Genomic DNA, 13,913 nt, shown 5'->3' with positions numbered 1-13,913 from the left:
GGGCACAAACACAGCTAACTGCAGCCTTGAACTCCTGGGCTCAAGCGATCCTCCCACCTCAGCCTCCCAAAGTGCTGGGATTAAAGGTGTGAGCCACCATGCCTGGTCCTTTTTCACATTTTTGATAAAGGCCTGATGGTGGTGGTTAAAAGCGCTGTTCATTTTCTTCATTAATCCTCCAGTCAGCAAACATTTGCAGAGTACTTACCAGATGAGGTCACTGAACTTAATGACAGAACCAAGGGAAGTTGCCTTTCCCCGTGCTAGTGCTGCCCAGCGCTTCACTGGAGATCTTGTTAAAATGCAGATTCTTGTTCAGTAGTTCCAGGGCAGGGCCTGAGATTTTGCATTCCCAACAAGCTCCCCGCTGCACCCAGGCTGCAAGAGATCATGCTTGGAGGATCAAGACCCTAGACTTGGGCCAGACTCCATATTAAGTGGCAGTGAGAGCAAGGGGGCCAGGTGGGAGATGAGAGAAGAGTTAGATAAATTATATATCACAGTTTCTGCCTTCAGGAAGTTCGTGGTTCTATCAGAAAAATAAAGAAGACTGGCTGGGCATGGTGGCTCATGCTTGTAATCCCGGCACTTTGGGAGGCCAAGGTGGGTGAATCACTTGAGGCCAGGAGTTCGAGACCAGCCTGGCCAACATATTTAGTAGAGACAGTGAAACCCTGTCTCTACTAAAAATACAAAAATTAGCTGAGCGTGGTGGTGCATGACTGTAATTTTAGCTACTTGGGAGGCTGAGGCAAGAGAATCACTTGAACCCGGGAGGCGGAGGTTGCACTGAGCTGAGATTGCACCACTGCACTCCAGCCTGGGCGACAGAGTGAGACTTCATCTCAAGAAAAAGAAAGAAGACTGAACAAAGCAAGGGAGTAAAAGTAAATTGCAAAATGGAGATGAAGACAATAGACAGTAGACAGTTCACACCACTGTGATGGCTTAAAAAAAAAAAGAACAAGTGTTAGAAAGCATGTGGAGAAATGGGAACTCTTATGCATTGCTTGTGGAAATGTAAAATGGTGCAGCCACTGTGGAAAAGAGTACAGGAGTTCCTCAGAAAATTATGTAGAATTGGCAGGGCATGGTGGCTGGCACCTAATCCCAGCACTTTGGGAGGCTGAGGCGGGCAGATCACTTGAGGCCAGGAGTTCAAGACCAGCCTGGCCAACATGGTGAAACCCTGTCTCTACTAAAAATACAAAAATTAGCTGGGCATGGTGGCAGGTGCCTGTAATCCTAGCTGCTCAGGAGACTGAAGCAGCAGAACCACTTGAACCCGGGAGGTGGAGGTTGCAGTAAGCCAAGATGGTGCCACTGCACTCCAGCCTGGGTGACAGAGCGAGACTCCGTCTCAAAAAAAAAAAAAAATTACGTAGAATTACCATATGATCCAGCAATTCCACTTCTGAATATATGCCCATAAGGACTGAAAGCAGGAATTTGAACAGGTATCTGTACAACTGTGTTCACAGCAGCATTCTTCACAATAGCCAAAATGTGGAAGTAACCCAAGTGTCCATCCACAGACGGATGGCTAAAGAAAATGTAGGATACACATACAACAGAATACTATCCAGCCTTGAAAATGAGGGAAAAGTTTGACTCGTGCTGCAACATAGGTGAACCTTGAAGACATTACGCTAAGTGAAATAAGCCAGGCCCCAAAGGAAGAATGTTTTATGGTTCCACTTATATGAAATATCTAGAGTAGTCAACTTCAGAGACACAAATTCTAATAGTGGTTGCCAGGGTTTGGGGGAGGACAGAATGGAGAGTTAGTGTTAAATGGGTACAGAGTTTCTTTTTGAAAAGTTGAAATGGAAGATGGAAAAGTTCTAGAGATGGATAGTGATGATGGTTGCACATCAATTTGAATGTAGTTAATATCACTGAACTGCACACTTACGGATGGTTAAAATGCTACATTTTGTTATGCATATTTTCCCATGATTTGAAAAATGGTTAAAAAAAAGGCACATACACAAAAATACAATAGGTGGTAGAGTTGTCAGCGGAGAGGGATAAAATGGTAACAGTAAGGCCTTATTGACAGACCAGGTGTGACTTGCCGGCACAAAGTACTTATTAACTCATCTAACTTATTGCTCATCTCCAGCAACCCTCTGAAACAGGTACTTATTAGCCCTGCTTTATAGATGACACAACTGAGAAAGGGAAGATTACTTAAGGCTCTACTAGTCAATGGGAAGTTTCTAAGGTAGCCGTGTAATTGAAGGTGGACCTTGGAGGAGAGGCAGGATTGGGGTGGAAAGAGGATAGGAGGTATTCTAGATAGATAGGAGCTGGCTAAGGAAAGATCCAGAAACTGGTGGGAACTTAAATATTCAGCTGCCATGACGATGGTTGGTATGTAGGGTTCGTATGAATGAAACGTGACTACCAGGGCAGATAATGAAAGGCTTTCAATCCCAGAGTAAGAGATATAGGGCCAGGCGTGGTGTCTCATGCCTGTAATCCCAGCACTTTGGGAGGCCAAGGCAGGTGGATCACTTGAGGTCAGGAGTTTGAAACCCGCCTGGCCACCATGTCAAAACCCTACTAAAAAGTACAAAAATTAGCCAGATGTGGTGGCTCACACCTGTAGTCCCAGCTACTTGGGAGGCTGAGGCATGAATCGCTTGAACCCAGGAGGCGGAGGTTTCAGTGAGCCGAGACTGCATCACTGCACTCCAGCCTGGACAACAGAGTGAGACTCCATCTCAAAGAAAAAAAAAAAAAAAGAAAGAAAAGAAAAAAGAGAGATATGGAACGGGGGCATCAAACTCAAACTCAAGTGTTTTCAGAGGCCAGCAGGTAACAAATGTGAGACAAGTGGCTTAGTCCAGGTGACAGGGAGTAGTATGGACTGTGGCAAGCTGAATAGAGCACATCCCACCTGAGACATTCAGATCTCAAACATAAATCCTGGGCAATGTGGGCCACTGATGGGCTTGGATGACATTGAACTTCTGATGGTGAGGTTGCTGTGCCCTTTGAAGGCATGCAGAGTGGTGTCGAGGGCATATGCAAGACCACATGGTATATGAGGCATATCTTCCTGGCTGTGTCAATAGCACTAGAAGATTATGGGTAAAAATTGATGCACTTTCACTAAGTACTTAAAAAATGATTTTTATGGTATGACAAAGACAGGTGGAGTAGAATACTAATGATAGCGAACATTGTTGAATGCTGACTATGTGCCAGGCACCGTTCTGAGCATTTTGCATATATTATCTCCTTCAGTCCTCCAAATAGCCCATGTACTTGGTTCCATTGTTATCCCTATTTACAAATAAGGAAATGGAGGTGCAGAAAGGGGAAGTAACTTGCCCGAAATGGTTGTGACAGAAATCTGGGACACAGTGGTGGTTGCACTTGCACTTAGAATTAACTCTGAGTTTCCTGAAAGCTGTTTCTCATTTATTTTGTCATGGCACTGTAGTCCAAGAGTAATTTAAGAAATGTTTCCATTTTTATTGTAGATTTAGAAATACATGTGCAGGTTTGTTCCAAGGACGAGGTTGTGTGGTGCTGAGGTTTGTGTTTCTATGGATCCCTTCACCCAGATCATGAACATAGTACCCAATAGGAAGTTTTTCCGCCCCCCTCACTCCCTCCTTTTGAAGTCTCCATTGTCTCTTGTTCCCATCTTTATGTCTGTGTGACCCCAAATTTTAGCTCTCACTTATAAGTGAGAACATTCAGTTCTTGATTTTCCATTTCTGCATTAGTTCTCTTAGGATGACAGCCTCCTGCTGCATCCACATTGCTGCAAAGAACCTGATTTTGTTCTTTTTATGACTGCCTAGTATTCCCTGATGTATATGTCCCACGTTTTCTTTGTCTGATCCACCACTGATGGGCATGTAGGTTGAGTCCATGTCTTTGCTACTGTGAATAGTACTGCGATGAACATACACATGCATGTGTCTTTATGGCAGAAAGATTCATTCTCCTTTGAGTAGATACCCAGTAATGGAACTGCTGGGTTGAATGGTAGTTCTATTTTTAGTTCTTTGCAAAATTTCCAAAGTGCTTTCCACAGGGGCTGAACTAATTTGCATTCCCACCAACAGTTTATAAGCATTTCTTTTTTGCCACGACCTCACCAGCATCTGTTATTTTTTGACTTTTTAATAATAGCAATTCTGACTGGTGTGAGATGGTGTCTCATTGTGGTTTTGATTTGCATCCAAGAGTAATTTAAATAGGGACCACTAGATGTCACTACCCAGTGCTCCTTAAGAAAGAGAAACAGACAAGAAACGCCGCTGTGGCTCTGCCTTGAAGAAACAGAAAAACTGCTTAACCACTGATATTTATGGTCTTCCTATTGAAGAATGCTGATGTGACCTGGTTGCCACAGTGCCTCTGACTCCTCCCCTATCCCCATTGTCCAGCCCAGCTAAGTGGTGCTGCGGGAGCCCTATTCTGCTGGTAGATTTTGTAATTTCAGGAAAACTAGAAGGGACTCTGTCATTTCATAAGTCAACTCCTTCCTGCATCAGCTGCCCACTCCACTGAAGGCAGGAGGGGCAGGATTGACTGAAGGAGGTTTTGGTTGTTAGCATGTGTGTGTGTGTGTGTGTGTGTGTGTGTGTGTGTGTATGTATGTAAAGTAGGGGGGACACGGGGGTTGTTTCCAGTTTTGAATAACTCAGGACCTGCTCTTGCACATTGGTCTAGTGCTTTCAACTAAGACCTTCCTTAACATGGGGCTTGCACAGGGCAGAAGTGTGACCAATATATGCTAAATTAAGTTGCACAGAAGGGCAGGAATGGGGCTTCTGCACAGAACATCGAAAAGGAGAGGAGGATCTTGGAAGGGACTAGGTAGTGCCTGAACCTCTCAGGGCAGTGGGTAGGTAGAGGAGAGTTTGCCAGGGGTTCATTCAGAGGGAAATAAAGGAAGGTGTATGGTGCCCTCCTCACAGGTACCCGACTTACTTATTCAGGATATAGCTATGGAATGTACATGTTCTTCAGGTACCTACAAAGATTTGTCAAAGTTGAGCAAATCAACCAGGCACGGTGGCTCATGCCTATAGTCCCAGCGCTTTTGGAGACTGAGGCAGGAGGATCACTTGAGCCCAGGAGTTCAAGACCAGCCTGGGTAACAACGAGATCCTGTCACCAGACATGGTGGCATGTGCCTGTGGTCCGAGTACTTGGGAGGCAGAGGTGAGAGGATTGCTTGACCCCAGAAGTTTAAGGCTGCAGTGAGCCTTAATGGCACCATTGCACTCCAGCCTGGGTGACAGAGACCATGTTTGTTTGGTTTTTTTTTAAAGTAAGGTTTTTTTTTTTATTAATTTCTCTTTAAAATATTCCTTTTCCTCCATCCCAGCATCCTCAACTAACTTAAAAATCTTCCTTCTTTACTGTAAATATTTCAAGAATTCTGTATATCTAAATATAGTCAATACAATGATGAATTACATTTTTATCCAGTTACCTTGAGGCTGGAAAACGAAGAGAGGTTTCTCTAGAACACTGTGAAAGGTAACCCATACCAAAATAGAGCAGAGAAGGGGGAGGAGGGAACTGCCGCAGAAAAACCTTAAAGCTTTCACTGAAATGTGTCTCCTTTCTTTTGGAGAGGAGGTCAAAATATAATAAGCGCATCAAGAGCTGTTTTGAAAAATGGGGCTGTGTAAGTTATGAGAACAGCTGTAGAGATTTTTTTTTTTTTTTTAGATGGAATCTTGGTCTGTCGCCCAGGCTGGAGTGCAGTGGCACAATCTTGGCTCACTGCAACCTCCACCTCCCTGGTTGAAGCAATTCCCCTGCCTCAGCCTCCCAAGTAGCTGGGATTATAGGTGCATGCCACCAGGCCCGGCTAATTTTTTTTGTATTTTTAATAGAGACAGGGTTTCACCATATTGGCCAGACTGGTCTTGAACTCCTGACCTCAGGCAATCTGCCTGCCTCAGCCTCCCAAAGTGCTGGGATTACAGGTGTGAGGCACCATGCCCGGCCGAGATATGTTTTTAAAATCTGGATAATAAAGCAAATGGTATAGATGAATGTCTTTAAATTACAGGAAGAAAATGGTATCAGGCAAAACTTTATATTTTCCATGGGCCCTGGAGATGGAAATTCATTTGCTTGGGAGTGGAAAGCATGCTTTGCATGATGTTCATTGATGGAATGTATTTTAAAAATGCAGAACCTAATTGGGGCTCTCAAATTTTCTACCCTTATTAATTCAAATGGAGACTTTCTGCTAAACTCAAAAATGCAAATACTAAGTTATTTCAAATAGGAATCCTGCTAACACTAGTACCTCTTTATTGCATGTAACCACAGATGCTTCCTTTTGAGTCCTTGGTCATCACTAACACCACATAGAATGGTATCAAGCTCATTTTGATGCTGCTGTATCTATTTGGTGTGAATGATAATAGCCATACTGCACATTTGAATCACACTATCACATGTGGTTACATTGAATTCTTACAGCAACTCTGTGTGGTATAAGGTACACATTGTTAAATATATTTGATAGATGATAGAACCAAGTCTCAGAGAGGTGAATTAACTTGACCAAGGCAACAATTAGTTAGTTGGATAAGTTGCATATTTGATCTCAGAAGAATTCTTATTAAAATGAATAGATTCCAATAACATTTTGCTTTGGGGAAGTATCTGCAAAATCTTCCACTGCAGCTATTTAGGCCATGGTCGCTGTATAACCTCGACAGTATTTGCTGTATATATGAACAGAGAAAGACCCACACAGATACATCTTTGATTTATATCAGCTCCACATGATTTGGTATTAAAAAAATTGTCTTCCTAAAAAAATCATATTCCCAATTCATTGAATCAAGAAGTGCCATCACATGTGTGTGTATATGTATGTGTGTGTGTGTTTCAAGTAAGAGGACGAAAGAGGACAGAGGAACAAAAAAAGCCTCTTCTCTTTAAAAATGTTGCTGTACTGCAAGTCAGCCACTGCTGAAACTCTGAGATGGCTTTTGTTTTAAAATCTCCTGGGACTTGCAGATCGTGGAGGTGCGGCATTGCTGTTCATATCCATGATCATGCCTGAAGCACACACGGAAAGGTTGTGAGCAGTCCCTCTTGTAGGGGTGTGTGGCATGTGAAGACTTTGGTGTGCTGTGGATCACTCCTTGGAGAAATGCTCGTTGTTAGCACAGTTAGGTTTTTGCTGGCAGAATGGCAGAAGCCAGCTTTCTAAAATGACTACCTCTCCCGCACCTCCCTGCTATTTTTGCATTGGCATCCTCCTGATGAGGATAGCTCTTGCTGACCATTTACACTTATTTACATTCTATTCCACAGCCCATAAGAGCCAGCTTTCCTAAGCTCCTTCCCTGACATCCCAGACTCATGTAAACATCATCCTCCGGAAGCACTTGTTACCCGTAAAACTCATTCTCTTTTTTTTTTTTTTTCTTTCGAGACAGAGTTTTGCTCTTGTTGCCCAGGCTGAAGTGCAGTGGCATGATCTCAGCTCACTGCAACCTCCGCCTCCCAGGTTCAAGCGATTCTCCTGCCTCAGCCTCCTGAGTAGTTGGGATTATAGCCATGTGCCACCATGCCCGGCTAATTTTGTATTTTTTTTTTTTTTTTTTTTTTTTTTTTTTAGTAGAGATGGGGTTTCACCATGTTGGTCAGGCTGGTCTCGAACTCCTGACCTCAGGTGATCCACCTGTCTTGGCCTCCTAAAGTGCTGGGATTACAGGCATGCGCCACCGTGCCTGGCCGACTCGTTCTTTAACTGATGGACGCTACCCTGCCAGATGGTGGTTTTATTCAGGTACATACACATTTCATCTCCCTGCCTTTAGTGTGAATTTCCAGAGGGCAGGGCCTGAGTCTCAGGCCCCATTCTTGCTGCCCTCTCCTTCCACCACCCCTTGGCACTCAGCCTTTGGCCAGGCCCAGTTTGTTGAGAGGCAAGAGGCAGGAGGCTGTGGTTAAGGCCATGTGCTCTGATCCCGACCTCCTAGGTTTGAATCCTGACTGCTACTTACTGACCGTGACCTTTGGTAGCTCAGCCTCTTAATCTGTAAAATGGAAATCCTAATGGTACCTGCCTCGTAGGGTTGTTGAAAAGATTCGGTGAGATTTGATGTGAAAACTGCTTAGCATGGTGTCTGGTATGCAGTAGGCATGATAAAAGCCATACCTATTGTTATGCTTCAGGAAGAATCTGCTGGAGGTGGGAGGCTGGAGGCCCATGAGGAGGCCTCTGGGGCGGTGACGGTGGAAGAGCCACATCTGCGCTGGCTCAAGAGCCCGCGCACTTTTCTGCACATCCTCCGCCCAGGCCATGAGCATCAGTCCTCGCTGCAGTCTTGTCCCAGCCCAAGAGGTCAGGGGCGTGTGAGTGCTGGGAGGGGAGAGTAGGTACAGAGTGCTGTCACTGGGAGGGAGGATTTGGTGGCTAATTGGATATACGAAAAGTAAATGGGGAGTTAAGGATTCCTTTCAGGTTTCCAGTTTGGACAACTGGGTTGACATGGATGCTGTTAACTGAGAAAGGAACCAAGAGTTGGAACAGGTTTAGAGGGGCTGGTAATGAATTTAGTTACAGACGTCTTGGGTTTGCAGGATCCGGGATGCATCTAGATGGAGCCATCCAGTTGTAATGACAACAGAGAACATATATGGAATATCATGTTCCAGTGTCTGTTCCAAGCCCTTCACAGGTTTGAATCCACTTATTCTCACAACAACCTTATGAAGGAGGTACAATTCTTATTCCCATTTTACAGATGAGAAGACTAGATGCAGGGTGCTTTAGTTACTTGTGTAAGGCCACACTGCTAACAAGAGATGGTGCAGAGATTGGGACCCAGGTAGTCTGGTCCCAGATAGCCCCCACATTTTGCTGCTACTCTACACAGACCCTCCATCTCGTTTCTGGGAGGATAGGTCTGGACATGTAGGTGTGGTGAAGCCTTGGCAGGGAGGACATAGCTCGAAAGCCCCTGAAGAGTGAGGTGGGTGGTGGAGGAAAGAAACTCAATTTGCTGATGCAAATGAGCATCATTGTTGAAAATTCAGGATCAATAAAAGGTATGACTGGGAGGAAAGGTCAAGTCGGAGTATGATATTCTTGTTAATATCTCTAAGTAAAGGCTATAGGATTGATGACACAATGCTTTGATACAATACTTATGTGTCCATTTCAGTCAACAAAGTTTGCTCAGATGGCTTTCAAATTCCTTTGATTAACACTCTTGTGAGGTAAGTAGGTGGGAAGTGTTATTACTGAGGGTACACAGGAAGAAATGAATTTGGGAATAGAATCCTAGCCAGACTCTCCCCGCCAAGAGTTTTATTTAACAAAGCACACACTGATAGAAGGTGTAGATTGCAAAGTACTAGTTATGTCCTGGAGTTGGGTTAGTAATTTTCAATTAACTTTTTGGGTGGCATAGCCTTGGTACCTAAACAAAATGAAATGGCTGCTAATGATTTATTTTTACTCTACAAGCTGCCTTAATTATACCAAGAAGAGGATTAACACATTGGCTCTCGGCTCTGGCTGTGCGTCAGAATCACCCAAGGGGCTTTAAGAAACTGCATTCTTAGGCCCCACCTCTGCAAATTTCCGTTGGGTAAATTGGGTTAGAGGTAAAGGAGTGGACTGGGGCTGTTGTTGTGCATTTTAAAAATAGGTGCTCCTTTGTCAAGATGCTGGAATGACATAAGTATTTATTTCCTTTTCATCCCAGAATCTCACTGAAATGATTCCCCCAAAGGGTATAAGAAGAAAAAAAAAAAACCATAACAGGGCGGGCAGACAGAATAAGGTACCATCAACTGGAAAGAAATTCTGAGGATTGTCCCGAAGGTACCAGCAGATGGGACTGGGGACTGGATTTTAAAAGATAGAGCAAAAAACCCAGAGGGGGCGGACATGAACTGTCCAAGGGGAGCACCGTTCTGGGCTGGAGCTGGGAAGAAGCACCACCTGCGCCATCTAGTGGAGGTCATGAGTAGGCCATGGAGTGAGTGATTGATTGTCTGGATAATTAATTAAAAGACACCCTGTTCCTACTGATTCCTTATGCCAAGCAGCTGACAGCCGCATTTGTTCTCAGGCTAAAGCTGCAAGAACTGTTCTCCAAATAAAATTCAGGCTCAGCCCCGGGGTGTGAGTCCCTACATTGGCACCAAGGTGACAGAGAAGCAGAAGGTACTTTTGCATCTTCGTGAGGGTGAAGCTCACCAAGCTCCAGGGGAAAGCTTTTCACACTTTGGTGGAGAGGTGGGTCACCCTCTTGCTCACTGCTCAGACATCCATTGGGAGACCTGGCTGCCCACCGATGTCCCTATTCTCATAGACTAGGGTAGACAGCCCTCGAACGCAGGGGAGAGGCTCACTGTGAAAATAGATTTTCTGGGGGGTGTGCTGAATACAGCATTCCAATGATGCAGATGTGGGATGACCAGCCTATTATTGGCTGTATGCATTGCTGGTCCTGCTAGATGGACTTAGTGCCCCCGTGGAGGGGAGACAGAATACTGAGAGGAAGGATAATAAGCACCGTGGATTTCTGTACAGGCCTTATCATTTCCACATCTTTCATCTGAGCCTCATAACAATCTTGTGAGGCAAATGGCACTTATGGTTTCATTTTACCAATAAGACAGCTGAGGTTCTGAGAAGTTAAGGAAGTTCAGGGACTTGATCAAGTTCATTCAGGTAACATGTAGCAGAGTAAGGAACCAAAACTGGGTTTTGCTACCTCAGATGATATTCTCTTTCTACTTATCGCATATTTTCCAGTTTACATAATTTACTTAATTTCAACTTTTTTTTTTTTTTTTTTTTTTTTTTTTGGAGATGGAGTTGCCCAGGCTGGATTGCAGTGGCACCATCTCCACTCACCACAACCTACGCCTCCTGAGTTCAAGCGATTCTCTTGTCTGAGCCTCCTGAGTAGCTGGGACTACAGGTGTGCAACACCATGCCCAGCTAATTTTTTTGTATTTTTAGTAGAGACAGGGGTTCACCATGTTGGCCAGGCTGGTCTTGAACTCCTGACCTCAGGCGATCCCCCCACCTTGGCCTCCCAAAGTGCTGGGATTACAGACATGAGCCACCATGCCCAGCCTATTTCAACTTTTTGATAAACATTCATTTCTGGAAGGTAGAGTAGACTTCGGGATCTGTAGATAAATTTGTGCCAGTGTAATAGAGTAATGAGGCTGAAAAACATTGAGAAATATTCTGAAATGATGGCTCCCACGAAAGTGAAAAAGATAGTATCATGTATTAAAAAGGGATTAATTTAGGAATTTGACTGTGGTTGGGTTTAGGACATACTTGTTTCCTGAGGTTGCTGCAACAAAGTACTACAAAGCCGGTGGTGTAAAATAGCACACATTTATTTTCTCACAGTTGTAGGGGTCAGAAGTTGGAAATCAAGGTGTCAGCAGGGTTGCCTTCCTTGGAAGGCTCTGGGGGAGAATTTCGTTCCTTGACCTTCCAGCGTCTGGTGGCCGTTAGCATTCCGTGACTTCTTGGCTCATGGTTACATCACTCCAATCTCAGCATTCATCTTCATGTCACCTTGTCCTCTGTGTCTTCTCCCCTTTGTCCCCTTCGTCTCTTTTTTTTTGAGACAGAGTCTCACTCTGTCTCCCAGGCTGGAGTGCAGTGGCGCGATCTCAGCTCACTGCAAGCTCTGCCTCCTGGGTTCACGCCATTCTCCTGCCTCAGCCTCCTGAGCAGCTGGGACTAGAGGCGCCCGCCACCACGCCTGCCTAATTTTTTGTATTTTTAGTAGAGACGGGGTTTCACCGTGTTGGCCAGGATGGTCTCGATCTCCTGACCTCGTGATCCGCCTGCCTCAGCCTCCCAAAGTGCTGGGATTACAGGCGTGAGCCACTGCGCCTGGCCCCCTTTGTCTCTTATAAGGACACTTGCCATTGGATTTAGGACCCATTCAAGTAATCCAGGATGATCTCATTGCAACATCCTTAACTTAAATTTGCAAAGACCCTTTTTCCAAATGAGGTCACATTTAGAGGTTCCAGGGATTTGAATGCAGATGTATCTTTTGGTGTGGGGTCATCACTCAGCTCACTACAGGGTGTATTTATTTACTTAACATTTTCATAGTGAAATGAAAAAACCCCTTGGCCCTTATACCCTGTGATGTATATTTATACAACCATTGGAACACCTCATCCCTAGGGACTAGGTTTGTGTTATTTTTTTTCTTAAACACCAACAGGTAACAGCTGCCAGTTTGAAAGCAGGAGCTTCTCTTGAGCCTTTCCTGTGTCTGTCTGTGATGACATTTCTGTGACTCCATCTCTGCCTCCTTTTCTTTAGTTTCCTGGGCAAGACACTAGGATTTTAGAAACTGGTATTCAAAAGGGAGGAAATCAAGTGACAGAAAATAAGAAAAATATTCTGAGGTTTCTGCCTTCTTTAATCATGGAAAGGAATGGCAGGTTTACTCAGCCCAGATTGGAAAGAAAGGTAAAAACCTTGGGACAGGAGGGGATATTGGGCTATTTATTTTTGAGTCACTCACATTCTTCAGTTTGAAAATGGAAAAAACTGAAAGCCAGAAGGATTATGTAAGGTCACTTGGCAAGTTGTGGGCTGACATAGCATTAAGACTAAGAGCTTCTGAGTTCTCTATTCTTTTTTTTTTTTTTTTTTAAGAGACAGGGTCTTGCTCTGTTGCCCAGGCTGGAGTGCAGCAGCGTGATCACAGCTCACTGCAGCCCCGATGAGTTCTCTGTTCTGAGCTTCTGAATCACAGTGACTCTTGAGGGGGTCTCACTCTATTAATCTTTGGTTGTCTAAGCAGTATATGAGGGTCTTGACACTCACAGCCAAATGAGCACACAGGAGAGGTTAAGCCTTGACTTTGCTGTGTTTGATCTTCATTCAATAAATGAGTAAAAGAAATGAATGCTGTGGTTGTATTCAACTTGTTTCCAAGCTAGCCAGTAGTGAGAAGCCTGTAAGCAAATGGATTTTTAAAATTTCATACTAGTATCTATTACGGGCAATACCGTTCTTGAATCCAAGTGAATTGTCTGAAGGATTACCATGTCTGGTGCTGGTGTTTGTAGACTTATATAGGAAAAATAACAACAAACAGAAGCCAGCCTTTCTTCTTCATAAGGACTTGCTCCGACCATTCATCTAAAAGTAGATTTTCTCTTTGCAGACTTTGAACTGCTTTGAACTTGTTTGCAAGGTCAGCCCTCCACTAGTTCAGGAGAATGAAAGCTATTTGGAGAGCTGGAGTAAATATTGAAGTAAACCAGCCCAAAGAGCAGTTTGCCTTGTCTCAGGAGAAGTTGATAGCTTTACCAGGTACTGGTAGGTAGTTTCCCAACATAGGGCCCAACTGCCAGGCAATGTTGGTAGGCTCTGCAGACTTCTAAATGACAGACTTTATTTTATTTTATTTTATTTTTGAGACGGAGTCTCGCTTTGTCACCCAGGCTGGGGTGCAGTGGCGTGATCTTGGCTCACTGCAAGCTCCACCTTCTGGGTTCACGCCACTCTCCTGCCTCAGCCTCCCGAGTAGCTGGGACTACAGGTGCCCGCCACCATGCCAGGCTAATTGTTTTTGCATTTTTAGTAGAGACGGGGTTTCACTGTGTTAGCCAGGATGGTACAGACTTTAATAAAGCATGTCTGTTAAGTGATATTATGCTTTGAATCATTTTGTGTATGAACTTACTTCCTTATTTTTTTGGCTAATGCCTATTAAATCTAATGTATTCTGCTTCTTTTTGTGCTAAGCACATGACTGAAAGGCTGTGAGCCATAAATCTTACACTCAAAAAATTCACATGATGTTTTCTCATTTTACCTTGTAATGACTTTGGCCTTGTGGTTTATTGTTATGGCCTGGGAGTGTTTTTGAGGTACATTTTTATTT

At 44.2% G+C, this 13,913-nt stretch overlaps 1 protein-coding gene across 12 annotated transcripts in view, besides 2 other annotated features; it reads left to right on the top strand.

The window, feature by feature from the left end:
* The window catches only part of CACNB4 (calcium voltage-gated channel auxiliary subunit beta 4), a 266,397-nt gene that overhangs the window by 90,016 nt on the left and 162,468 nt on the right, over nt 1-13,913 (top strand). The gene's annotated exons all lie outside the window — the stretch shown is intronic.
* Nucleotides 7,775-8,275: an enhancer, noted in NCBI's record as "H3K4me1 hESC enhancer chr2:152857391-152857891 (GRCh37/hg19 assembly coordinates)". NCBI's record gives its function as "activates a minimal SCP1, AML or CMV promoter by ChIP-STARR-seq in naive H9 embryonic stem cells {active_cell/tissue: H9 hESC(naive)}" and the evidence as "EXISTENCE:reporter gene assay evidence [ECO:0000049][PMID:30033119]".
* Nucleotides 9,965-10,044: an enhancer, noted in NCBI's record as "active region_16641". NCBI's record gives its function as "activates an Ori minimal core promoter by ATAC-STARR-seq in GM12878 lymphoblastoid cells {active_cell/tissue: GM12878}" and the evidence as "EXISTENCE:reporter gene assay evidence [ECO:0000049][PMID:35858748]".

Source organism: Homo sapiens, chromosome 2, assembly GCF_000001405.40.
Source record: "Homo sapiens chromosome 2, GRCh38.p14 Primary Assembly".
Lineage (NCBI taxonomy): Eukaryota > Metazoa > Chordata > Mammalia > Primates > Hominidae > Homo > Homo sapiens.
Note: the sequence above shows the minus strand (reverse complement) of the source record. Positions and strands in the feature narration are given on the sequence as shown.